The 27,696-nt window shown below is 42.9% G+C and overlaps 1 long non-coding RNA gene across 1 annotated transcript in view, besides 3 other annotated features; it reads left to right on the top strand.

The window, feature by feature from the left end:
- Positions 1-27,696, top strand: part of CASC15 (cancer susceptibility 15) — a 529,408-nt gene that overhangs the window by 199,022 nt on the left and 302,690 nt on the right. The gene's annotated exons all lie outside the window — the stretch shown is intronic.
- Positions 6,524-6,573: a silencer, noted in NCBI's record as "silent region_16987". NCBI's record gives its function as "represses an Ori minimal core promoter by ATAC-STARR-seq in GM12878 lymphoblastoid cells {active_cell/tissue: GM12878}" and the evidence as "EXISTENCE:reporter gene assay evidence [ECO:0000049][PMID:35858748]".
- Positions 8,216-9,415: an enhancer, noted in NCBI's record as "MED14-independent group 3 enhancer chr6:21873881-21875080 (GRCh37/hg19 assembly coordinates)". NCBI's record gives its function as "activates an origin of replication core promoter dependent on BRD2, BRD4, P300/CBP and CDK7 cofactors, and independent of MED14, by STARR-seq in HCT116 cells {active_cell/tissue: HCT116}" and the evidence as "EXISTENCE:reporter gene assay evidence [ECO:0000049][PMID:35650434]".
- Positions 25,684-25,978: a silencer, noted in NCBI's record as "tiled region #8833; K562 Repressive non-DNase unmatched - State 21:Repr". NCBI's record gives its function as "represses a minimal TATA promoter and a strong SV40 promoter by Sharpr-MPRA in K562 cells {active_cell/tissue: K562}" and the evidence as "EXISTENCE:reporter gene assay evidence [ECO:0000049][PMID:27701403]".

The raw sequence follows: 27,696 nt of genomic DNA on the forward strand, positions 1-27,696 counted from the left end.
ACATATTTCCAAGAGTTCATCATATCTTTGTTTCCATTATTTTTAAATGTCTGGATAAATTGGTGACTCTTTACCATTAAGTTTAAAATAGTTGAGTTCTACTCTCCTACTCTTCTATTCTTAGAATAGATGTGTAGGGCTCCAGCTAAAACAAGAGGCTTTGAACAGCCGGCTGTGGTGGCTCATGCCTGTAATCCCAGCACTTCGGGAGCCCGAGATGAGCAGATCACTTGAGGTCAGGAGTTAGAGACCAGCCTGGCCAACATGGTGAAACCCCGTCTCTACTAAAAATACAAAATTTAGCCAGGTGTGGTGGCAGGCACCTGTAATCCCCGCTACTAGGGAGGCTGAGGCAAGAGAATCGCATGAACCCGGGAGGCGGAGGTTGCAGTGAGCCAAGATCATGCCACTGCACTTCAGCCTGGGCAACAGAGCAAGACTGTCTCAAAAAATAAAATAAAAAATAAATAAATAAATAAAAACAAGAAGCTTTGAATACTTCTTCAAGTCTAATGAGACTGAACTTTTGCCACCAGTTACCACCCCTACCCCCACCCCCAGCCTTTTCTAGTCTGCATAGAACTTTGGGGAAGGGTTGAGGAGGAGAAGGTCTCTTCAGCTTTATAGAGGACATGAGAGAGACAATTCCCAGAGACACTTGCCATGAGGATTGGGGTGCCTGCAGGAAGACAGCATTAGCATTGGATTTTCTGGTTGAGTGACTGCTCGGGCTGAGTTGCCAACCTGCCCCTGTGCCTATCTGGGTTGGGAGGAGAGAATGGAGAAGAACAGCAGGAAGAAGGTTGCCAATGGAGCAGCCCACATATCTCCCTTTCAGTTTGTCAAGGATATGCATGGTCTCCAAGGGTGAAATGGACACTGGGAATGGTGGTTGGTCCTGAGCCATCTTGCTAGAACTTTCCCTAAGTGGCTGGCTTTTGATAATGGGAGCCAAGGCGTGGGTGGAGAAGGTTGAGCCAGACCTATATCAGGGAAGCTGTGCAGTGAGGAGCTCCCATAAGACCCTCAGAGGAACTCACATCCCAGCCGGCATTATCCAGAGACACGATCGTGGCCACTTATGCAGGGAGATATTTGCCTTTCTCTCTCTACCAGTTCCTCATGGGAGGAGGATGCGCTGGAGGCCGGGGAACGAGAAAGAAATGTGTAAAAGGCTATAACCCAGCCCTTCCTGTTTAGAATCCAAGTAACAGCTTTGCCTGACCAAGGCAGGAACTTACATAAAACCAAAATTGAATTTGAGAATAGAAATGTAAATTGATCAGGCTGGGCATGGTGGCTCACGCCTGTAATCCCAGCACTTTGGGAGGCTAAGGTGGTTGGACCACCTGAGTTCGGGAATTTGAGACCAGCCTGACCAACATGGAGAAACCCTGTCTCTACTAAAAATACAAAATTAGCTGGGCGTGGTGGTGGATGCCTGTAATCCCAGCTACTCAGGAGGCTGAGGCAGGAGAATCGCTTGAACCTGGGAGGCGGAGGTTGCAGTGAGCTGAGATCGCGCCATTGCACTCCAGCCTGGGTGACAAAAGTGAAACTCCATCTGAAAAAAAAAAAAAAAAGTAAACTGATCAAGAATATAATCACCTAAAGTATGACCCCCAAATTAGGAGATCGGTGTCATTAAAGATGAGAAAGAGGTTTATAAATAGCAATTTGGGGCCAGGCATAGTGGCTCATGCCAGCAATCCCAGCACTTTGGGAGGCCGAGGTGGGTGGATCACCTGAAGTTGGGAGTTCGAGACCAGCCTGGCCAACATGGTGAAACCCTGTCTACTAAAAATACAAAAATTAGCCGGGTGTGGAGTCAGGTGCCTGTAATCTCAATTACTCGGGAGGCTGAGGCAGGAGAATCGCCTGAACTGTAGAGACGGAGGTTGCAGATCGTGCCATTGCACTCCAGCCTGTGCAACAAGAGCAAAACTAAAAAAAAAAAAAAAAAAAAAAAAAAAAAAGTAATTTGGGGGCGGGGCTTGCTGGCTCACACCTGTTATCCCAGCACTTTGGGAGGCTGAGATGGGCAGATCTCTGGAGTCTAGGAGTTAGAGATCAGCCTGCACAATATAGAGAAACCCTGTCTCTACAAAAAATACAAAATTTAGCTGGACTTGGTGGTGCATGCCTGTAGTCCCAGCTACTTGGGAGGCTGAGGCAGGAGAATTGCTTGAGCCTGAGGGGTGGGGGTTGCAGTGAGCCAAGATCACACCACAGCATTCCAGCCTGGATGGCACAGTGAGACTTTGTCTCAAGAAAAGAAAAAGTTTGGTAGCCTTGACGTGATTAAAGTAAGACCATTTCATGTTAATTGCCCACTGAGAGGATAACACTCAAATGAACCCAGTTTCAGATTCTCCTTTTCACATCATTATGATATCAAATATTCATCCTCTATCCAAATTCATCCCAGAAGAGTTGGTATTAAGTACTTAGCTTCTAGGAGCATTGTTATTAGGCCTGGAGCCCTTGACATTATGTATGGTGTGAAGTATATGTAAAGATGAAAAGATGACTCAAGGCAGTAGGTGTTTGCTTAAGTGAATTACTTGTGATAATTGCATGGCCTCTGTACACAAATGGAAATATCTTCATTTTAAGAATTGGGTTTGCATTGTCAACGGTGTGTGGGACAGCTCCTGAGACACCTAAAAGATATATAATAGACAAAGTAACACTGAGAGATGCTCAAAACTACTGAGTTGAAGGAGCCATACTCTAAATAGAAGACTGTAAGCATTATGATACCATGTCAACACAGCTTAATAAAAAGCTACTTTACAAAGGGAGAAATATCGTTCCTAATGTTTTCCATAGAGTCAGTGAATGAATTGAGAAGTGGATCCAGGATTTCATGTATCAGCACCATAGGTTTTATCATTTATATAATCCTTTTTTCTGTCACTGTCAAGATTTTAAAGGGGGGATTATGGTTTGACTTAAAGAGAGTAGGCAATTCAGGCATACCACACAAAGCTGTTAAATCTCAGAGGCTTGAGATTTCTTGGCTCCTTTTAAGTTTTGGAAGCAGAGCACTCCTAGGGAATGCTATTCGGAATTGGCTTCATGGAGAAAATGTAGCTTTTGGGCAGTTAGCTTTTGAAGCTGAGAGAGGATAATAGGTTGGTGAACAAGAAGGCAAAAGTTGCTTCAGGTTTGAAAAATAAAGGAGTGAGGAGGTGATAGTCTTGTGAAGACTCTCACTGTAATAGTTCTTTGCAGGACCAAGTGGTTCTCCAGATCGAGCTCAATTTTCCCCTGAGTGCATTTTCTGAGTTGTGATAAAGCCCAGGTACCCTCTTACGGAGCGACTTATCTCTTTGTGCCCAATTGCTAGGGCTGTGCTATCATCTTGGCCAACTGCCCATTTCCTTTGGGTCTGAGAGAACATTTCAATTTAAATCTGATTGTATAGATTTAGGACTTGGGGGAAAAAAAGGTATCTGGAGTGACTTTTTTTTTTTTTTTTTTTTTGAGACGGAGTCTTGCTCTTTGCCCAGGCTGGATTGCAATGGTGCAATCTCAGCTCACTGCAACCTCTGCCTCCTGGGTTCAAGTGATTCTCCTGCCTCAGCCTCTGAATAGCTGGGACTACAGGTGCGTGCCACCACGCTCGGCTAATTTTTTTTTGTATTTTTAGTAGAGATGGGGTTTCACCATGTTGGCCAGGATGGTCTCGATCTCTTGACCTCGTGATCCACCTGCTTCGGCCTCCCAAAGTGCTGGGATTATAGGTGTGAGCCACTGTGCCCGGCCAACTTTTTTCTTTCTCTGCCTCCTACTATGAGAGTTCCCATCTTTGATGGATGACTCAGAATTCAAATTACACCTAGAAGCAAACACATCAGGCTTGAGGGTAGAGAGGGAGAGAAAAGAACAACTGTCCCATCTGTGTTTCATCCTGAGTGGGAGGTTCAAATCTAGGTATTGGCAGAATGAGATAAAGGAAGGAGAGATTGAGAAAGAGTGGAAGTGGGATGGAAAGTTATTAAGGGAAGTCATTCCAGGACAGTTTTCACCCACTCAGTAGATTACAGGACGCCATGGAAGAACTGAACTACCTCGGTAGGCTGCACCTCAGGCTCTGTGCAGACTAATGTTTTTATTGCTTAACAGGTATTGAGTCACCTTGTTAAATGCCATCCCTAATATAGAGATGGGCTTATTCCTTGCCCCAAAGCTATTGGGAGCCTAGTTAGGAAGACACGTAACACACACAGGTCCCAACACCACACAAGAATGGTGCTCCTGTCATTCTATTAAGTGGCTTACCAGGTGGAATGAAGTTATCTTGCTGGGAGTCCTCTGCCAGCGAGTTCAGTCTGATGAGAAATTTGAAATTTGATGCAACCACATTGCATCAATAGTAAGGGTTTTGGGAAGGCTTCGCTTTGCTATATGTTGAGAGAGACTTGATTCTTGGCACCGAGGAGGAGAGCTAATGGCCCTCACCCTGCACGTGCTTGAGTGTGAAGTGGTTAAAACAAAATTTTCTTTTACTTTTTAATTTTAGGTGATATTTTGATAGGGTCATAAGAATAGTGTTTCCTACCTAGGCCCATTGCTAATACCACTGTATTAAGTCTTCTTAGAAGCCCATGAATTCTCTGGCTAAAAAGTCCTGGGGGCTCCCTGTGCTAGACGTAGGGGGACATATAAATGGTTTTGAATTTCAGTTTCTATGTCAGTGAGAATTCTGTGCCAGAAAAGAGCATCTGCTCTTTATTTTACAGATGAGGAAATTTAGTCCCAGAGAGAGCGTGATTTGCCTCTTCCCTTGAGATTAGCCAGCAGAGTCAATAAGAAAAATCTAGGTCTTCTGATTCAGTCCAGTGCCTTTCTCTGTATGTCGCACTGTTTCCCTCATTATCTTGAGATTTGCTGGAGCCACAGGACTGCACAATGGTTGTGCATATGTGGATTTGAGTGCCACAGCTGAATTAACTCATGTCAATCTCAGTCCCAAGCCTGTTCCCACAACACGTGGTAAATCGTCACTCCTTGTGGTCTCAGAATTGGGTGCCTGGAGGATATCATAATCACCAGGGATAGTTTTTTCTGTTGCTGCCTGGTGCACACATCTCCTCTGCCTTGACTTGTCTGAAGTCTTTCCCTCTTTGAGGCAGGGACTGAAGGGGTGGAGCCCAGCTGTGCAAGTGCAAAGGCATGCAGCCCTAAGCTGAGCCTAATTTGAGCCCATTGAGTAGTACTAATTTTGACTCATTATATTTTTGAAAATTCAGGGCATAGGTTTTTTGTTTGTTTTTTGAGACAGAGTCTCACTCTGCTGCTCAGGCTGAAGTGCAGTGGCGTGATCTCTGCTCACTGCAACTTCCGCCTCCGAGATTTGAGTGATTCTCTTCCCTCAGCCCCCCGAGTAGCTGGGATTACAGGCACGTGCCACCACACCTAGCTAATTTTTATATTTTAGTAGAGTTGGGGTTTCACCATGTTGACCAGGCTGGTCTTGAACTCCTGACCTCAGGTGATGTACCTGCCTCAGCCTCCCAAAGTGCTCGGATTACAAGCGTGAGCCACCGTGCCCAGCCCAGGGCATAGTTTTAAGGCAAACGTAGTTGTGGTTTTAAGAACGCCGGTTTGAGGTGCACTGAGACTGAGCAGGGAGGGGTATTTGTTACTGTGGACCTGGTGATGAGGACTCCCTTATGTCTTCTCTGAGCTAGAACTTCTCTTTTGAATTGGCTTCATGCTTCAAACTCATGACCTCTCTTACCTTATTGGTTGGCAGGTTTTGTGCAATGGATTTTATCAGTAAGGAACTGAATTTAAATCTTGCAATTAGATAATGTGATTACTTAAGGGGACTTTCACTATTTTAGGCCGGGACTCCAATCAAATAAATCCCAGGCCCTGCCCAATCTATGTGCTCAAAATTTTCGAGTTTTCAGTTGTGATGGGTCACCCTCTGTATATTCTTACTGTAGTACACAATGCAAAATGTATCAAGATAATTAACTGATTTAGGTGTTCACAGTGCTATTATGGAACATTACTTCTTTTAGTGTGACACGCATTAGGCTCTATCACTTGTGTCATGCTAGCCTGATTAGCACCTCTTCCTAGGGCTGTACGCTGACTCTTATTTTTTTTGAGACGGAGTCTCGCTTTGTCACTCAGGCTGGAGTGCAGTGGCACAATCTTGGCTCACTGCAACCTCTGCCTCCTGGGCTCCAGCAATTCTCCTGCCTCTGCCTCCCGAGTAGCTGGGATCACAGCCACCATGCCCGGCTAATTTTTGTATTTTTAGTAGAGACAGGGTTTCACCATGTTGGCCAGGCTGGTCTTGAACTACTGTCCTCGAGTGATCCGCCCACCTTGGCTTCCCAAAGTGCTGGGATTACAGGTGTGAGTTACCGCACCCGGCCCCCTGACTCATTTTTAGAGAAGAAATGTTCTGTTTTCTAGAAGCATTTTCTAACTTCTCAAGGGGCCAACCGAAGTTTACTTTCGTTGTTCTTCTGTACGTGTGCCTGGTTTCCTAAAGCCCTTTGCTTGGGAACAGCTCACTCAGTGAGGCTGCCTGGGGTGTTGCAGCCTCAGGTGTTGGTGGTGTAGGGTTTTCTGTGCTTGCCCTTCTGCCACAACTTCTGCAGTTTCTCATTTCCTGCTCTGCTCCCTGGGTCCCAGGTACTGGTCGCTCATTTGGCTTTATTGCCTATGAGAGGCTTGGGCAGGTGGCATTGCAACACCTCTGCCTTTGTTTCTTCCTTCTTCCCATGAGGGCTGGGAGAACAGGAGGGAGAGAAGGCAGAGGGGAGCACGGGTGCTGATCGCCCATTAATTTAAACACAGAGAAGGGTAACTGGAAACAGGCTTCCTTTCTGCCCCTACAAAGCCTCTTTCCTCCTCTTTTCTGCTGCAGGCCCTTAATTCCTCTTTCTTGCTTAGGTTCTATATCTTATGGGATTTTTTACTTTAGGTATATAGGGACTCTCTCAAAATGTTTCTATAGGCTGGTCTGGAAAACTAATTGCTGTTTATGATATTGTTTCTATGTGAAGCTGTCTTATGAGATCCAGATAAATTGCAAACACTCCTTAGGAATATGAACCATCTGCAAGTTTTGGTAAGTAAACATATCCTTCGTTTTTGGGTCTTTTTAAGTTTGTCTGCACTTCATTTTGGAGTCTAGAGTTGTGACATGTAGTTTTAAAGATATCAGAGGGCACAAAGTGTATTCTTTCCTGGCATTAAATCTCATTTGCCACCTCCCCGCACTTCTAAGATCTCTACGTTTTCCTTTCCATGGGTGTCTTTCAGAGGATCATATTTTGGTCTTTGGATAATTCTGCTTTCGGAATACAGCATGTGGCTGGGGACTTGCTTTAAAGTGCTATGCAGAGTTTTCTCCTTTTAGAGTGCATTATTTTTCCCCCTTGGTTGACTTCACTAAATACTGCAAACCCAAGAAGAGTCCCATGGTTGCAGATCTGGTATTGATTATCATTAATTCTTCTCTTTATGACTTTGCCACTTAAATACACGTTTAGAAACAAACTAAATAAACATTAAATGGCATAACTAGATTTTGGACTTGGGTGGTCCAGTGAGTTTCAACATATGCTTAGCTTTGAAAGGTGGTTATAAAAACACTCCATTTAACTACCCCATTAAATGATTGGGATATATTTTTAAAGATTTTTAAATGTATGAGTTCAGATATTTTTAAAAAGAAAGTTGGAATTATTTATAATTTATTGTCATACAAATTAGCTGAAAAGGGAAAGTAAATTTTGCTTATATGGATGCTTAGTCTCTGTGTTTCAGTTTGGCTGGTTGATTGATTGGTCTCTAGCTGTGTGGCTTTGGTGAAGTCACTCAACTCTCTGAGCTTTGGTCTCTTCAGTTGTAACAGAGAATATTTCCCAGTTGATTCCCAGGCTCTGTCCCACTTTGGAAATGCTAGAACTCTGCAATTCTGTGAATTTAAAAGTTGATATTTAAAATAATCATGTGAAGCAGAAGGTATACTGTCTACTTAGCCATGGAAGTGGGGAGATGGCAAGTTCTGGAATGATCAAAAAAGGTTTAGGAATAGTGTATGATCCTGAGCCTTGTCTCCAAAGTCAATCCTTTTTTGTTGCCCTGTTTATTGAACTGTACGTACGGTTGGGACAATAGATGGGGCATCTGGAAAAAATATTAAAAAAAAAAATGTATGGGCAGAGACGATGCCTCAGGACCTTAAATGTGCTGTCATACAGTGTTCAGTGATGTTGCTGTTAAATGCAGTGCTCTGTGACTCAGCCCTATTAGAAGCATTTTGGATTTGGCCCAATGGTGTTTTGGCGGTTTTTGGATTATGTGTTAGGAGTCAGAGCGTCTAGAGTAATTCTTGGCATTGGATCATCATGGCGGACAGGAAGCAGGACTAGATTGCAGCTCCAGACAGAGCAGCTTGCGGAAACTTGCACTACGAATTTTAGCTGCAGATCGACTGCAAGAAAAAACCAGCAATCCCGAGAGGACCCACAGACCCTCTGAAGGAAGTGGACTGCTCCTGCAGGAGTCAGGAGACACCCTAAATACTGTGAGTGCTCTAACTGTGGAAGTGGGAAAGGGAGACCCTCCTCTCCTAAACACACCCCCGCTGGAGCTGAAGGTCTGTTTGTGGGAGAAGTTTCTGACTTTACCTGCAGCTGAGTCACTTTAGAGAACTGAGTGAAATACAGGGGTAGAGGAAGCAGCAGAAAGGCCCTGGGAGCTCACTGTATCCCTTAGCAGGCCATTCCTGCCTGGCATCACAGAGATCCATTGGGAGGGTGACCAGAGGAGCAGCAGGTAAAACTCCACAGGGAGAAGGAACTCTCCGAGCTGAACTTTGTAACAATTTGAACAGGACCAGAAGCCTGGTCAGAACTTGGGGGAGGGTGCAAAACTAGTGTGTAGACACCACAGGCGGGGGAAGAACCAAGCTTTTTCTTTTGCAGCTGGGAGGTAGGTAGCCCAGGGCAAGTTTTCAAGCCCATCCTGCCCTGCGCCTGGAAACAGACTCGGGGCTGTTTCCAGATATCAGGGCAGGGGGCATGATGGGAGTGAGGCTGGCCCTTCACTTTGTGTGGGAGCTGGGTAAGACCTGTGACTGCCGGCTTTCCCCCACATTCCTGACAACCTGCATGACTCAGCAGAGGGAGCCATGATCCTCCTAGGTACACAACTCCAGTGACCTGGGAATCTCATCCCCATCCCTCACAGCAGCCACAGCAAGACCTGCCCAAGGAGAGTCTGAGCTTAGACACACCTAGCCCTGCCCCCGCCTGATGATCCTTCCCTACGCAGGTTGGTAGCAGAAGATAAAGGACATATAAGCTTGGGAGTTCTAGGGCTGGTCCCTCTCTATGCAACTATAGCTGATACTGTCTGGAAAGTGCCACCTGCCAGCAGGAGGCCAACCAGCAAAAAAACAGAGCATTAAACCACCACAGCTAAGGATCCCCACGGAGTCCATTGCACCCTCTACCACCTCCACTGGAACAGGCGCTGGTATCCACCGCTGAGAGACCCATAGATGGTTCACATCACAAGACTCTGTGCAGACAACCCCCAGTACCAGCCCAGAGCCAGGTAGACTCGCTGGGTGGCTAGACCCATAAGAGAGACAACAATCCACTGCAGTTTGGCTCACATGGAACCACATCCATAGGAAAAGGGGGAGAATACTACATCAAGGGAACACCCCGTGGGACAAAAGAATCTGAACAATAGCCTTCAGCCCTAGACCTTCCCTCTGACAGAGCCTACTCAAATGAGAAGGAACCAGAAAGCCAACCTTGGTAATATAATAAAACAAGGCTCTTCAACACCCTCAAAAAAATCACACTAGTTCACCAGCAATGGATCCAAACCAAGAAGAAATCCTTAATTTACCTGAAAAAGAATTCAGGAGGTTAGTTATTAAGCTAATCAGGGAGGGGCTAGAGAAAGGGGAAGCCCAGTGCAAGGAAATCCAAAAAATGATACAAGTGAAGGGAGAAATATTCAAGGAAATAGATAGCTTAAAGAAAAAAAAAATCAAAAATTCAGGAAACTTTGACACACTTTTAGAAATGTGAAATGCTGTGGAAAGTCTCAGCAATAGAATTGAATAAGTAGAAGAAAGAAATTCAGAGCTCCAAGACAAGGTCTTCGAATTAACCCAATCTAACAAAGACAAAGAAAAAAGAATAAGAAAATACGAATAAAGTCTCCAAGAAGTCTGGGATTATGTTAAATCACTAAACTTAAGAATAATCGATGTTCCTAAGGAAGAAGAGAATTCTAAAAGCTTGGAAAACATATTTAGGGGAATAATTGAGGAAAACTTCCCCGGCCTTGCTAGAGACCTAGACATCCAAATACAAGAAGCACAAAGAACACCTGGAAAATTCGTTGCAAAAAGATCATTGCCTAGGCACATTGTCATCAGGTTATCTAAAATTAAGACAAAGGAAAGAATCTTAAGAGCTGTGAGACAGAAGCACCAGGTAACCTGTAAAGGAAAACCTATCAGATTAACAGCAGATTTCTCAGCAGAAACCCTACAAGCTAGAAGGGATTGGGGCCCCATCTTCAGCCTCCTCAAACAAAACAATGACCAGCCAAGAATTTTGTATCCGGTGAAACTTAGCATCATATATGAAGGAAAGATATAGTTGTTTTCAGACAAACAAATACTGAGAGAATTCGCCATTACCAAGTCACAACTAAACTGCTAAAAGGAGCTCTAAATCTTGAAACAAATCCTGGAAACACATCAAAACAGAACCGCTTTAAAGCATAAATCACACAGGACCTATAAAACAAAAATACATGTTAAAAAGTAAAAACAAAGAACAAAAAAGCCAAGTACACAGGCAACAAAAAGCACGATGAATGCAAGGGTACCCCACATTTCAATACTGACATTGAATGTAAATGTCCTAAATGCTCCACTTAAAAATACAGAACCCCAGAATAGATAAGAACTCACCAACCAACTTTCTGCTGCCTTTAGGAGATTCACACAACACATAAGGACTCATACAAACTTAAAGTAAAGGGGTGAAAAAAGGCATGTCATGCAAATGGACACCGAAAGTGAGCAGGGGTAGCTATTTTTACATCAGACAAAACAAATTTTAAAGCAACAGCAGTTAAAAGAGGCAAAGAGGGACATTATATAATGATAAAAGGCCTTGTCCAACAGGAAAATATCACAATCCTAAACATATATGCACCTAATACTGGAGTTTCCAAATTTATGAAACAATTACTAATAGACCTAAGAATGAGATAGACAGCAACACAGTAATAGTGGGGGGCTTCAGTATTCCACTGATAGCACTAGACAAGTCATCAAGACAGAAAGTCAACAAAGAAAGAATGGATTTAAGCTATACCTTGGAACAAATGAACTTAACAGATATTTACAGAACATTTCATCTGGCAACCGCAGAATACACATTTTATTCAACATCGCATGGGATTTTCTCCAAGACAGATCATATGATAGGCCACAAAACAAGCCTAAATAAATTTAAGAAAATTGAAACTATATCAAGCACTCTCTCAGACCACAGTGGAATAAAACTAGAAATCAACTCCAAAAGGAACCTTCAAAACCATGCAAATACATGGAAATTAAATAACCTGCTCCTGAATGAGCATTGGGTCAAAAACGAAATCAAGATGGAAATTTAAAAATTCTTCAAACTGAATGACAATAATGACACAACCTATCGAAACCTCTGTGATACAGCAAAGGCGGTGCTAAGAGGAAAGTTCATAGCCCTAAGTGCCACATCAAAAAGATTGAAAGAGTACAAACTGACATGCTAACGTCACACCTCAAGCAACTAGAGAAACAAGAACAAACCAAACCCAAACCCAGCAGAAGAAAGGAAATTACCAAGATCAGAGCAGAACTAAATGAAACTGAAACAAACAAACAAAAAATGCAAAAGATAAATAAAACAAAAAGCTGGTTCTTTGAAAAGATAAATAAAATTGATAGAACAGCAAAATTAACCAAGAATAGAGAAAATCCAAATAACTACACTAAGAAACGAAACAGGAGATATTACAACTGACACCACTGAAATACAAAAGATCATTCAAGGCTACTATGAACACCTCGACACACATAAACTAGTAAACCTAGGAGAGATGGGCAAATTCCTGGAAAAATACAACCCTCCTAGCTTAAATCAGGAAGAATTAGATACCCTGAACAGACCAATAACAAGCAGCGAGATTGAAATGGTAATTAAAAGATTACCAACAAAAAAAAAGTCCAGGACCAGACGGATTCAGAGCAGAATTCTATCAGACATTCAAAGAAGAATTGGTACCAATCCTTTTGACACTATTCCACAAGATAGAGAAAGAAGGAACCTTCCCTAATTCATTTTATGAAGCTAACATCACCCTAATACCAAAACCAGGAAAGGTCATAATCATAAAAGAAAACTGCAGACCGATATCCTTGATGAACATTGATGTTAAAATTCTTAACAAAATACTAGCTAACTGAATCCAACAACATATCAAAAAGATAATTCACCATGATCCAAGTGGGTTTCATACCAAGGGTACAGGGAAGGTTTATATATCCAAGTCAATAAATGAGATATACCACATAAACAGAATTAAAAACAACAATCACATGATCATCTCAATAGATGCAGAAAAAGCATTTGACAAAATCCAGCATCCTTTATGATTAAAACTCAGGCCAAGCACGGTGGCTCACGCCTGTAATCCCAGCACTTTGGGAGGCTGAGGTGAGCAGATCACCAGGTCAGGAGTTCGAGACCAGTCTGGCCAACATAGTGAAACCCCACCTCTACTAAAAAGACAAAAAATTAGCCAGGTGTGATGGCGTGTGCCTGTAATCCCAGCTACTCAGGAGGCTGAGGCAGGGGAATCGCGTGAACTCGGGAGGCAGAGGTTGCAGTGAACCAAGATTGCACCACTGCACTCCAGCCTGGGCAACAGTGCGAGATTCTGTCTCAAACAAACAAACAAACAACTCTCAGCAAAATCGCTCATACAAAGGACATACCGTAATGTAATAGAAGCCATCATGACAAACCAATAGCCAGTATAATACTGAATGGGGAAGAGTTGAAAGCATTCACTCTGAGAACTGGAACAAGACAAAAATGCCCACTCTCACCACTCCTCTTCAACATAGGAAGTCCTAGCCAGAGCAATCAGACAAGAGAAAGAAATAAAGGGTATCCAAATTGGTGAAGAGGAAGTCAAACTGTCACTGTTTGCTGACGATATGATCATTTACCTTGAAAACCCTAAGGACTCCTCTGGAAAGCTCCTGAAACTGATAAAAGAATTCAGCAAGGCCTGGCGTGGTGGTTCACGCCTATAATCCCAGCACTTTGGGAGGCCGAGGTGGGTGGATCACGAGGTCAAGAGGTTGAGAACATCCTTGCCAACATGGTGGAACCCAAAATGCAAAAATTAGCTGGGTGTGGTGGCGTGCACCTGTAGTCTCAGCTACTCAGGAGGCTGAGGCAGGAGAATCACTTGAACCCTGGAGGCAAAGGTTGCATGAGCCTAAATTGAGCCACTGCACTTCAGCCTGGCGACAGAGTAAGGCTCTGTCTAAAAAAAAAAAAAAAAAAAAATTCAGCAAAGTTTCTGGATATAAGATTAATGTACACAGATCAGTAGCAACCAAGCAGAGAATCAAATCAAGAACTCAACCCCTTTTACAATAGCTGCAAAAAAAACAAAAAAACAAAACCTTAGGAATGTACCTGACCAAGGAGTTGAAAGACCTCTACAAGGAAAACTACAAAACACTGCTGAAAGAAATCATACACAATACAAACAAATGGAAACACATCCCATGCTCATGGATGGGTAGAATCAATATTGTGAAATGACCGTATTGCCAAAAGCAGTCTACAAATTCACCGCAATCTCCATCAAAATACCACCATCACAGAATTCTTCACAGAATTAGAAAAAACAATTGTAAAATTCATATGGAACCAAGTAAGAGCACGCATAGCCAAAGCAACACTAAGCAAAAAGAACAAATCTGGGCTGGGCACTCACGCCTATAATCCTAGCACTTTGGGAGGCTGAGGCAGGTGGAACACTAGAGGTGAGGAGTTCAAGACCAGCCTGGCCACCATGGCGAAACCCCCGTCACTACTAAAAATACAAAAATTAACCGGGCATGATGGTGGGCGCCTGTAATCCCAGCTACTTAGGAAGCTGAGGCAGGAGAATCGCTTGAACCCAGGAGGTGGAGGTTGCAGTGATCAGAGATCGCACCACTGTACTCCAGCCTGGGTGGCAGAGTGAAACTCCATCTCAAAAACAAAAAACAAATAACAAAACAAAAAACAAGAACAAATTTGGAGGCATCACGCTACCTGATTTCAAACTATACTATAAGGCCATAGTCACTAAAACAACAACATGGTACTGGTATAAAAATAGGCACATAGACCAATGGAAGAAAATAGAGAACCCAGAAATAAACACAAATACTTACAGCCAACTGATCTTTGACAAAGCAAACAAAAACATAAAGTGGGGAAAGGACACCCTTTTCAACAAATGGTGCTGGCATAATTGACTAGCCACATGCAGGAGAAGGAACTGGATTCTCATCTCTCACCCTACACAAAAATCAGCTCAAGATGGATCAAGAACTTAAACCTAAGATCTGAAACTACAGAAATTCTAGAAGATAACACTGGAAAAACCCTTCTAGATGTTGGCTTAGGCAAGGATTTCATGACCAAGAACCCAAAAGCAAATGCAATAAAGACAAAGATAAATAGCTGGGACCTAATTAAACTAAAGAGCTTTTGCATGGCAAAAGGAACAGTCAGCAGAGTAAACAGACAACCCACAAAGTGGGAGAAAATCTTCACAATCTGTACATCTGACAAAAAACCTAATATCTAGAATCTACAATGAACTCAAATCGGTAAGAAGAAAACAAACAATACCATAAAAAAGTGGGCTAAGGACATGAATAGACAAGTCTCAAAAGAAGATGTACAAATGGCCAACAAACATATGAAAAAATGCTAAAAGTCCCTAATGATCAGGGAAATGCAAATCAAAATCACAATGTGATACCATCTTACTCCTGCAAGAATGGACATAATCAAAAAAATAAAAAAAACAGTATAGATGTTGGTGTGGATGCGGTGAACAGGGAACATTTCTACATTGCTGGTGAGAATGTAAACAAATACAGCCACTATGGAAAACAGTGTGAAGATTCCTTAAATAACTAAAAGTAGAGCTACCATTAGATCCAGCAATCCCACTACTGGGTATCTACCAAGAGGAAAAGAAGTCACTATTCGAAAAAGATACTTGCACACGAATGTTTCTAATGGCAGAATTCATAATAGCAAAATCATGGAACCAACCCAAATGCCCATCAATCAATGAGTGGATAAAGAAACTGTGGTATATATATACAATGGAATGCTATGTAGCATTTGCAGTGACCTGGATGAGATTGGAGACTATTATTCCAAGGGAAGTAACTCAGGAATGGAAAACCAAACATCGTCTGTTCTCACTGATACGTGGGCGTTAAACTATGAGGACGTAAAGGCATAAAAATGATACAAAGGACTTTGGGGAATTGGGGGGAAGAGTGGGAGGAGGGTGAGAGATAAAAGACTAAAAATATGGTGCAATGTATACTGCTTGGGTGATATGTGCACCAAAATCTCACAAATCACCACTAAAGAACTTACTCATGTAACCAAATACTACCTGTACCCCATTAACTTATGGAAAAAAAAATAGAGTAATTATTTCACTCCTGTAAGTTGACATTTTGCATGTAACTCCCCAGGAGGGAGAGAGAGTACTTTTCCTTTTCATTTTTGTTTCTTTTATGTCTTTTCATGATCGTCTTTGTTCTCTTTCTCTATGATCCATTCTATCTTTTTTTTGTTGTTTTTCAAGATGGAGTCTTGCTCTGTTGTCCAGGCTGAAGTGCAATGGTGCAATCTCGGCTCACTGCAACCTCTGCCTCCTAGGTTCAAGCAATTCTTCTGCCTCAGCCTCCCAAGTAGCTGGGATTATAGGTGTCCACCACCATGTCCAGCTAATTTTTTGTATTATTATTATTTTTTAAAATTTCTTCAAGAGATGGAGTTTTGCTCTTGTTGCCCAGGCTGGAGTGCAATGGCATGATCTTGGCTCACTGCAACCTCCACTTCCTGGGTTCAAGCGATTCTCCTGCCTCAGCCTCCCCAGTAGCTGGGATAATAGGTATGCGCCACCACACCTGGCTAATTTTCTATTTTTAGAAAAGATGGAGTTTCTCCATGTGGGTCAGGCTGCTTTTGAACTCTTGACCTCAGGTGATCCACCCACCTCGGCCTCCCAAAATGCTGGGATTACAATAGGTGGAGCCACCACGCCTGACCATTTTCATATTTTTAGTAGAGACAGGGTTTCACCATGTTGGCCAGGCTGGTCTCGAACTCCTGGCCTGAAGTTATCTGCTCGAAATCCCAAAGTGCTGGGATTACAGGTGTAAGCCACTATGCCCGACCAATCCATTGTATTTTGTGATCCATTTCCCCACAGCAAAGAGTTTTTTGGGGGTGATTAGTTGTCCTAGGTTACTTCCATTGAGGGTTCTTAACTGGTTTCCTTGAGTAAGAATTAGAGATTAGGTGGTGATCTCATGAAACCACTGTAGAGGGGGTGGTTATACAGAGAACAAATATATTAAATGTTAAAGAAACTTGGCACTTGAACTTAAGTGTTCTCAAAATCAGACCTTGACTGTTATTTAAGTCTGGTTCCTGCAAGCAGAGCCTGGGGCAAGCCATTTGGACTTGTCACAGAGGTAGCCTTTGGGCAGATGCTAATGGCACATGAAGAAAGAGTGACCACAGTGTTTTATGTAGGTTCCTTTGATCATTCTTAACTGGTTTTTAATATTATACCAACATTTAATCAGAAACCAACATAGTTCTCAGTACTCTAACTCTGGGAATCATCTCTATATCCCAGCCCCAAAACCTACAGTGGAAGATTGGCTGTTTTGTCAATATCTCATGTAAGAAACTCTTCCTTTGAGAAAAACTATAGCAGTGAGGACTTAGGATTTCTTCGTGTTTATCCCAGAATGCTGAGGGAATTCAGGAATCATATCTTTCAGTATCTCAGAACCCTACACAGTGCCCGTCTTTTTAGTGTGGTTTTTCAGTTGGATTGCGTTTCTGAGGCCCCTGTAGGAATCTTCCTTTGGAATCTTTATAAACCAGATAGAATCTAATTGGTGAGAGAAGCCAGAGAATCCAATAAACCTTGTCCCTTCTCTCTTACTGTACTATATCCATCTATACCTATTTTTTAGGTTTAAGTTGTTTTAAACTCTAAAGGTAGAGTAAACATTAAATTGTATGTTTTACTGTTCACATTTAGCAATGGTAAATTGCTAAGAGAATTAAAAAAATAAGAAACCCTACCTTTCAGTAATAGGCTGGTGAAGTATCATTAAATCCTTAGAAATCAAAAAGAAATGGGCAAAATTCAAGATATTGTGAGTACCTTGTTAGGATAATCGTGGTAGAGACTTCTGTCTGCCTATATCTATCCCGATTTTCTTTCTTTTTTCTTTTTTCTTTTTTTTTTTTTGAGACAGAGTCTCGCTCTGTCTCCCAGTCTATAGTGCGGTAGCACCGTCTTGGCTCACTGCAGCCTCTGCCTCCAAGGTTCAAGTGATTCTCCTGCCTCAGCCTCCCTAGTAGCTGGGATCACAGGCACGCGCCACGAAGACTGGCTAATTTTTTTGTATTTTTAGTAGAGACAGGGTTTCACTGTGTTGGCCAGGCTGGTCTCGAACTCTTGGCCTCAAGTGATCCACCCGCCTTGGCCTCCCAAAGTTTTGGGATTACAGGTGTGAGCCACATACCCAGCCCTGATTGTTTCTTTGTGGATGGTTGGGCTGTTTAAGAAACATGGATTTTTTTTTTTACTGTCTCCACTTAGAATTTTGTTGTTCAGGTCTTTTTCTATGAGTTCCATAGCAATATTTTGGCCATGATTCTTGCTTGGACTTGATATTTTTAGGCTTCGTGAGGATTTATCATTCTATCGTCTAGGCATCCTGCCTTCTGATCATTCTCCTTGTTGCTTCCATGCTGGAAGTGATGCTAGAGGCACAGGTCTGTGCAATTACTTCTACACCGTAGGTACCTGGGGTGCTTAATGGCAGAGACTGTATTTGTCAGTTGGTGGTTTAGACAAGTTACAGGTAAAACACTATGAAAGCCTCTGTCTAGATTCTTATCTCTCTTTCTCTAGCAGAATCAAACAGACAGAAATGAAGTTGAATGCTGGGAAGTCTTTGTTTAAAAAAGTGGTTGCTGTTGTCTAGAATCACAGAGACACTCAGAAGGAATTGGGACTGGATGTGGAGGAAAGACATCATAAAACTTTACATTGAAAGCCAAAGATGTGAAGTTAGGCCTAGTCAAGTGTTAATTCTGAAAGATCAAAACACATCATCCTGGACTGTGAAGGTGTGCCTTCTGTAAGTTAAATGGAATGAGATCTTCTTCAGTGCACCTGATGTCTTGGGAAGGGTGAGTTGAGGCGTGGTGGATGTGAAACATGATCTCATTATAAATGTTCCCATTTGTTTTATGTGTTCAGTTTGTTTTGTGCTATCTAGATAGGAAATCTAAAGGCTGAGAAAATGTCTGCTGTAGACATGGCAGTGATTCTTTGATACTAAATAGTTGGAGGGGAGCCGAGTGATTGCGTGACTTATTTTTAGACAATATAGGGACTCCCTTGCAAAGGGAGGAGTTGGGAAGAATAGACGTGTTAGGAACCAGGTTAGCCTGGAGATTTCTCTGGTTACCTGAAGCTGGAAAAATATTGGAAGAAGAAATTATTCAATGAGAACTCATGCAGACCTGAGTCTCCAGTTATGCCTAAGTGGCCATGTCAGATCTGTGAACCTCTCTGCTGGCTTCTTAACAAACCCATATTTTTACAAGGAAGATGATCTGGGTTAGAGGAATTATTAATTATATTTCAGCTCACAAATTCCTCTTTACTATCACCCCTTTAGCCCCATGTAAACTCTGTTAGGGTTTGGTTAAGTGTAGAAACTGATATGTAAGCAAGAGTAAGAAGATGAAGTCACTTATCTGGAAATTTCTTTAAACCTTTAATTATTGTAAACAAAAGATCTGGTCTCTTTGGAGCTGGTAGTAATGTCTTAGTTTTGTGGCTGTTAGTTTTTTGACTCTATCAGACTGAGTCATTGTTTTATTTGAAGATCTAGAATAACATCATCTACAAAGAAATGATTACAGTAATTGATCTTGATACTGCCTCCTCCTAGTTGTATTTATATAATTATCTAAAAGGGTTTTTAATAGAATTACTGCAACAAGCCTGAAAAAGTCTGTGCTAAGTGGTAACACCTTGAAACAGGATCAATATGATCCCGCCTTCAAGGGGCTTTTGGATTTGTCTAGCCTACTATATGGCTGAGTACTAGACTCAGTTATCCCATTCCTCAGCAAAAGAAACTACAGAAGTTTGAGGGAATATCAGACTCTTGGCACACAATTGACATTTAGTAAACACTTGATAGGCAGTTGGTAGTGGGTGGCAGCATTCACAGATGAATTCTGAAGTAGATGGTGAATGATGCTGAGATTTTCTTTACCAGTCCTGGTGACACTGCCTGAGCTCACATGATAAGATCCTGGTAGAGTAGCATTTATTCTTCTTTTGCAGACTCAGCTAAGAGGACTTTGCAGTTGAGGCTGAATCTTGATCCATGTAGTCCATTCCCGATGGTGCTATTTAGAAGGCCTTTTGTTGTCTGAGCAAAGTTGTCTTCCTGGCCTTACTACTGAATCTTGGCAAAGGATCAATGGGTAAGCCCCATCCTCCAAAGATCTCATATAACATAACTGGTATCAGGACACTGATTACATGCAAGCAGTTCCCACATGAAGAGCTTTAAAATTGAGATTTTTCTTTGAAATTTAAAAGAAGGTGGAATAAAAATGTGCTTGCTTTCCAACATAGATCGATTAGCTGGCACGGAGAGAACACCGGCCTTTGAAATCTATAGGCATCCTGTTGCAGGCCTGACCCAGCTGACCCTGGGAGATTAGTAATGGTCTGTGCAGCCTGCTCTGTCAGCAAGTCTGGCAGGGTGTGCACAGATGGTGCCAGTTGGAGAAAATCACTGCCGAACAGTGCACTAAAGCCTCTGCCTTGGCCATTCTGCCTTGGAGGAGGAGCCGAGAGTGAGACTGGGTGGTTTACAGACGTGTTCCTGCCAAATGCCTTGGAAGAGACCTCAGAGGATACCAGTCCGGGTTTAGGATGCATTTGCTGATTATTACTTAAGTAATGTTTTCTTGTCATAGCTTAGGCCTTCCTGAGTTGTTGGGCATCTGGGATTTTTACAGGGTCTGTGGCCTTGGGGTTGTTCTGAAAGGGAATTTGAAATGAGAACTGATCTCATTCCAAGGAGTCAAGCATAATGCAATACTTGTTTTCCTAGAGTCAATCAGCCTAGGGAAAATGCGAGTAGGCTGGAAGCGGGGAGGAGGAGGAGTCTGAGAGTTTGAGTAATCAACTTAACCCAGGGGTAAAAAGAATTTTATTATAGAAAGCAGCACACATGACCTCTGTCCTTCCAGCTGCCACCAGTTTCTGGGTTGTCGAGTGATACCCTGAAAGTTTACAGTCAACACTCCTTGTGTGGGGTCAGTCCTAGAAATGGCGACGCTGCTCTCCGAAGATAGGAAAGAAAAGGACCTCATTCCATTGAGCCATTGACCGAAATATTTTCTCAACAAAGTTGAACTGAGCTGAAACTGTAAGCCTGTTCTTCCTAATTAGACATTTTATTCTTTGAAAATTCTACTTGGAGTTGCGTTGAAAAGTCAAAGTTGAGGAAATGCATCTTTCTAAAATACTTCCCTCTGAGCTGTATTTCAACAGGTTGAGGACAGGCTGAAAAAATATTAATGTTGAATGAAAGATGTGAGGGTGTCTGGGTGTCTGTAATTACAGAGGGTAACTGAATCAGTGAGTGGACTTTTCCCATTCCCAACTTTTTTGGTATTCTTCCTGCCACAACTTTGTCTTTTAAGTCTCCATCCAGGTTAGTTCTGGCTTTGTAGTTCGTTACTGTTTAACAGACTTGTTTGATTCCTTTTGTGTTGTTTTATGAACTGTGGTGTTGTTTCACTCTGGAAGAATTTTCCTTGGAGATGCTGCTGCTGTGAAATGAGAACTTCTCTTTTGGGTTTTTGAATGACCACCCCCACCCAAAGATACAAAGAAACCTATCGTGTTCAGTGCACTCTAGTGCTTTTGAAATTGGTGTATGGGAGCATGCTCTGGAGGGAGAGCTGAGAGAATGAACAGGGCATTTGCCAACCTCACACAGTGAGTGCAGACTGACACATACAGCAATACTTGCTGGAATCTGGAAGAGAGAGATAGAAAGCACACTTAAATCAGACAGAAGTGTAACTTTTCTTGTTTAATAGAGCATAGCTCAGGCATGATAGCTTTATTGACAAGATGGGAGGCCGAAGAAAGGAGAGAAGTCAAGGATGACTCAAAGTATGAGTTAGGAGAAAGCAGTGGGTACTGAAATACTTTGGCAAGAGGAAGATGAGGAGTTCAGTTTTAAGTAGTTTGTTTTTGAAATGTCCATTAGGTCTTTGGATATCTGGGTCTGGGTTTGATCAGAGAGGTCTGGGATGGAGATAGTAATTTCAGAGTTGCTGACACACAGCTGGTGATGAAGCCACAAGAGTGAATAAGGTAGCACAGAGAACGAAGAGAAATGGGAGTGGATGAAATTTGGTATAGAACTAAAAGCACACTGTGATTTCTCTCCCGCGCTGGTATTTGAACAATGACATGTATTTGCCTAGAGAAGACAAATAACAAAAATGACTGGGTGATTGTGTGTGGATCACGCTTGTTATATCTTTGATAGGGAAATTCAAAACGGTCTGTGGAAGTGTAGAAATAAATTCTTGAAAATGACCCTGAAGTAGATTTTTGGAGTGCTTTGGTCCGTTTCACAGATGCTTTACCATTTGAAGTAGATGCCAAAACAAACGAGAAGATAGATAGCTCAGGGTTTGTAGTACATGAAGCCAGCATCTGCTAGTTTATTTAGTAGCAGGAGCAGGAAGAGCAGAGGGAGAAGAGTGCAGCAGCCGCCAAGAATAAAACCTGGTCAAGAGGCCACATCAGCCCAGCTTGGCAGACGGGCCTGGTGGCTTTGGTAATTATACTGGTGCCTGCTGTATGTGGGCCTTTTCCACTGAGTTTAAAAAAGGCTTTCCTCTAACTACCAGGTCTCCCAGCAGTTGGGCCACTTTTGCCCTCGGTGGTTTTTCCCTGTGGAATATTTGCCGTGTCTGTGCTCCGTGGCTGTGTTTGCTGACTCCAGGGTAATACCCTTGGCCCTGCTGTTTCATGTGGCTCCTGCCCGTCTCCCCCTCCTGACTTAGCTCATAGAAGGTTTGTGAGGACATGCCCTTCGGGAAGAGCCCAGGAGAAACCACATGACTGCATGGCTAGACCAGCACACGTGGACTTGACCAAAGCCTTGTCTTTTTCCTTCTCTCCACCTCCCTCCCTTTTTAATCTATTAGTACTTTTGACATAAATAATATGTAACTGACTCAGATCTACAGAAATATCATGGCAAGGCACATACCTAGTGATGAGGGCCCATTAGCACTGAGACTTCCTTTGGGTTAATAATTTCATTATGGATAGAACTCCCTTTTGATACTCACCTTTTTTTTTAATTTTTATTTTTTGAGATGGAGTTTTGCTCTTGTTGTTCAGGCTGGAGTGCAATGGCGCAATCTTGGCTCACTGCAACTTCCGCCTCCTGGGTTCAAGCGATTCTTCTGCCTCAGCCTCCCAAGTAGCTAGGATTGCAGGCATGCACCACCACGCCCAGCTAATTTTTTGTATTTACTAGAGACAGGATTTCCCATGTTGGTCATGCTGGTCTCGAACTCCTGACCTCAGGTAATCCACCCGACTTGGCCTCCCAAAGTATTGGGATTATAGGCGTGAGTCATTGCGCCCGGCCTTGACACCCACATTTGCCACCAATTCTATTTTAAGTATGCTAACTCTGATAATGACATAGGAAGAAAACATACTTTAAAACTGTAGGGAAATCAATCCCAAAAAGAATTCCATGCTTTTTCCTTTGTGTACTTCCACTATCTATAGTCCCAGAGTACATCTCCAAGAGGCATTTTTGTTTCTATCCACATTGGGGGTATTGCTCGTATCACTTTATGGGAGAAGAAATCCATAGGTACCAGTTAATAATGCATTTTGGGCCTCTTGTTATTTGTATTATTCTTCAGAAGGTGTCATAGAGTACATTGAGACCAGGGTATCCTGAATATGTGCAGTTGGAAACACTTCTGGCATTTGTTGAAGTTTTTGTTGTTGTTTTAAGACTCCATTCTGCTATTCTTAAGTTTGTTTTCTCTTTTTGCTCCCATCAGTGTTTTCTTTTCTTTTTAAAAATATTCATCCACAGTCTCCTTTATATAAATATCAGACAGTAATAAATAGTTAGGTTTAGTCTTTCTTTTCTTCCCCCTGCCTATCACGTACTAAGTACTGTACTGCCTTCTGGAAATGGTCTCTGTCTTCAAGGAACTTAAGTGTCCAGCGGTGGTGGTTGCAGGGGGTTGGTGGGGGTGGGTGGACATAAATAGGTGCTTTTAGTACAGTATGATATGGGCTATGGGGGTATAACTAAGCCATTTTTGTCAGGGACTGAAATCAGGGGCCACTTTTGAGAAAATGCTCTGGCCGGATCTTAAGGAATGACCTGGAGTTAATCTTTTTTTTTTTTTTTTTTTTTTTTGAGATGGAGTCTCATTCTGTTGCCCAGGCTGGAGTGCAGTGGTGCGATCTCGGCTCACTGCAAGCTCCACCTCCTGGGTTCACGCCATTCTTCTGCCTCAGCCTCCCAAGTAGCTGGAACTACAGGTGCCTGCCGCCCACCTGCCCAGCTAATTTTTTGTATTTTTAGTAGAAACAGGGTTTCACCGTGTTAGCCAGGATGGAGTTAATCTTATCTAGGAAGTAGGGCTTGTTTCCTAGCCAGAGGGGTGATCTGGGACTTGACCATCATGGGGTAGGGCGATAGCTACAATAGTTTGGTATTGGTGGGTTAAAGGGGGTAGGGGTCAAGTGCTGGAAGACAAGGCTGCAGAGCAAAGCCAAGATCAGGTCTTAGACTAAGGGTCATGTATGTAGCTGGCGATGTGTATTCTATAGTAGACTACTTTTCCAGCTATGTGGAGGCTGGATGGAATTGGGTAATGGGAAGAGATGTGCAGTAGGGAATCCAGTTGAGTGGTTATTGCCAAATGGATGAAAGATGAGGGTCTGCTGGGCGTGGTGGCTCACACCTGTCATCCCAGCACTTTGGGAAGCCGAGGCAAGTGGATCACCTGAGGTCAGGAGTTCGAGACCAGCCTGACCAACATGGCAAAACCCCATCTCTGCTAAATTAGCCGGGCGTGGTGGCACATGCCTGTAATCCCAGCTACTTGGGAGGCTGAGGCAGGAGAATTGCTTGAACTCAGGAGGCAGAGGTTGCAGTGAGCCAAGGTCACGCCATTGCACTCCAGCCTGGGCAACAGAGTGAGATCCCGTTTAAAAAAAAAAGAATCTGGGCGCCTGTAATCCCAGCACTTTGGGAGGCCAAGGCGGGTGGATCACCTGAGGTCGGGAGTTCGAGACCAGCCTGACCAACATGGAGAAACCCTGTCTCTACTGAAAACACATTAGCTGGGCATGGTGGCGGTCGCCTGTAATCCCAGCTACTTGGGAAGCTGAGGCAGGAGAATCGCTTGAACCCAAGAGGCGGAGGTTGCGGTGAGCCAAGATTGTGCCATTGCACTCCAGCCTGGGCAACAAGAGCGAAAACTCCATCTTTAAAAAAAAAAAAAAAAAAAAGATGAGGGTCTGAATGGAGGCAGGTGTAGGCACTGGGGATAGTCAGGAGGAGACAGATATGAGGAATATTTGGAGATTAATTCACAGGACTTCGTAACGGTTGTGATGTGGTAGTTATGGTGTGATGTGCGTAGGGGGTGGTAGCAGGTGAGGGATGGGGCTCTTAATTTTCTAGCTGAAATGATTGGATAGACGTTACCAGCTAGGATTGGAAACAAGGGAGGAAGAGGGGTTAGGAGGTAGGGATACCAATTGCAAGTTTGTTCTATTAACACATTTCTTAAACATTTCTTCAACTTTTAAACTGCACCTACGGTCATGTTTTACTTCTTCCTCATAAAAGTTAAGGTGGCCGGGCGTGGTGGTGCTCACACCTGTAATCCCAGCACTTTGGGAGGCCAAGGTGGGTGGATCACTTGATGTCAGGAGTTCGAGACCAGCACGGCCAACATGGAGAAACCCCATCTCTACTAAAAATGCAAAAAATCAGCTGGACATGGTGGGGTGAGCCTGTAGTTCCAGCTACTCAGGAGGCTGAGGCAGGAGAATCGCATGAACCTGGGAGGCAGCGGTTGCAGTGAGCCAAGATCACACCATTGCACTCCAGCCTGGGTGACAGAGCAAGACTCTGTCTCAAACAAACAAACAAACAAACAAACAAACAAAAAAACCAGTTAAGTATATGTTCAGGCTAGGCAGTAGCTATTTTGAAAACTCAGGACTAAAGGAATTCCTGGGAGTATGTATAGGATGATTAGAGTTGCAGTTTCCATTGTCATGCAGTAGAACATCTTGCGGGGGTAGGTACACAATGGTGAGCCATCAGCAGGCAACATTGCCAGCAGCTGGAGGAATAAGGGTCTTGGTCCTGAATGGTTATCCGGATGGTGGACAACCGCTGCCTCTACACATGGCCTGCAAGACCTTATATAGCCTGCCTTCTTATGCTACCACCTCTGGGATCTCATTCCTACTGTTTTTCCCTTCCCTTTGCTTACTTTGCTGTACCCACATTGTCTTTTTTTGCAAATGTTGTTTGAACATGTCCAAGCAAACATGCTTTAGTTTCAGGCTTCTGTACTTGCTATCTGATTGACTGGCCATTTCCTTCCTTTCTGTTCAAATGCCACCTTTAATAAAGGCCTCACTGAGTGATTTAATATAGCACACCCTGCCTTCAAACTCTCTCTATCCCTTTATCCTGCTTTTCTTCATGAAACGCATCCCTCTGACGTTGCATAAACATTTAGTTGGGTTTTTGCCTATGTTGCTGGTGGGAATGTGAACTCTGGGAGGGTAGGGACTGCACGCCATTAGTGTATTATTTGATTGTGTATCTTCAGGGGTTTTGAAAGTTGTTCTTGGAGAAGATATCCTGTAAAGTTGTGCTTTGCTTTAGAAAAAGTTAACATAGAAAGATTTTATTTTATTTTTATTTTGAGACAGAGTCTCGCTTTGTTGCCCAGGCCGGAATGCAGTGGTGTGATCTCAGCTCACTGCAACCTCCACCTCCTGGGTTCAAGTGATTCTCATGCTTCAGCCTCTCCAGTAGCTGGGATTACAGGCATGTGCCACCATGCCTGGCTAATTTTTGTATTTTTAGTAGAGATGCAGTTTTGCCATGTTGGCCAAGCTGGTCTTGAACTCCTGGCTTCAAGTGTGCCGCCTGCAATGGCCTCCCAAAGTGCTGGGATTACAGGCATGAGCCACTGCACCCGGCCCAAAGATTTAAGATTGCTAGTGAATGGCCGGGCATAGTGGCTCACACCTGTAATCCCAGCACTTTGGGAGGCCGAGGCGGGTGGATCACGAGGTCAGGAGATCAAGACCATCCTGGCTAACACGGTGAAACCCCATCTTTACTAAAAATACAAAAAATTAACTGGGCGTGGTGGCGGGCGCTTATAGTCTCAGCTACACGGGAGGCTGAGGCAGGAAAATGGCGTGAACCCGGGAGGTGGAGGTTGCAGTGAGCCTAGAGAGCCTAGATCGTGCCACTGCACTCCAGCCTGGGTGACAGAGTGAAGCTGCAACTCTTAAAAAAAAAAAAAAAAGATTGCCAGTAAAATATAAACAAAGGTAGTAGTTGATATTATGTATTGCTTATTGTGGGACTCTTAGACTGGTGACTTCACCCAGAGCATTTTACATGTAACGAGATTTACAACAAAGACCTTCTATGTACCCCTGTTTTCAGCACTGCATCTATTGTGGAAAATAATGTAAATGAATTGCACCTTCTAAGGGTGTGCTGGTTTGTCATTACAATATACTCTTATCATTGGACAAACTTCAATTGAAATAAATATGTATTTATCTGAAGGCAGAAATTATGCTATTATCATTAATAATTCAGAAGAGTTTTCAGTTAAGCATTAACAACATCATTGCCTTTGGCTGTGATCTGACTGCTTGAACTCATAGTAGTATCAAATTATTTTTCTCAATGAAGACAAAATTAAACTCCAGATAACCAGAACTCAGAAATCTCAACTCTTTAATCAGCATATGCTCCTTTGAGCATGTATCTTATAAGAAAGAGATATATAATTGTAAAACATATTAAGGATTTAACATTTTTGAAGTGTCTTTTCCTGGAGATATCCTGGGATCTGTATCCATTTGGCCCAGTGTCCTATGACAACCTCATCTATAGAACATTAAAGA

This window comes from Homo sapiens, chromosome 6, assembly GCF_000001405.40.
Source record: "Homo sapiens chromosome 6, GRCh38.p14 Primary Assembly".
In the NCBI taxonomy this organism is placed as follows: domain Eukaryota; kingdom Metazoa; phylum Chordata; class Mammalia; order Primates; family Hominidae; genus Homo; species Homo sapiens.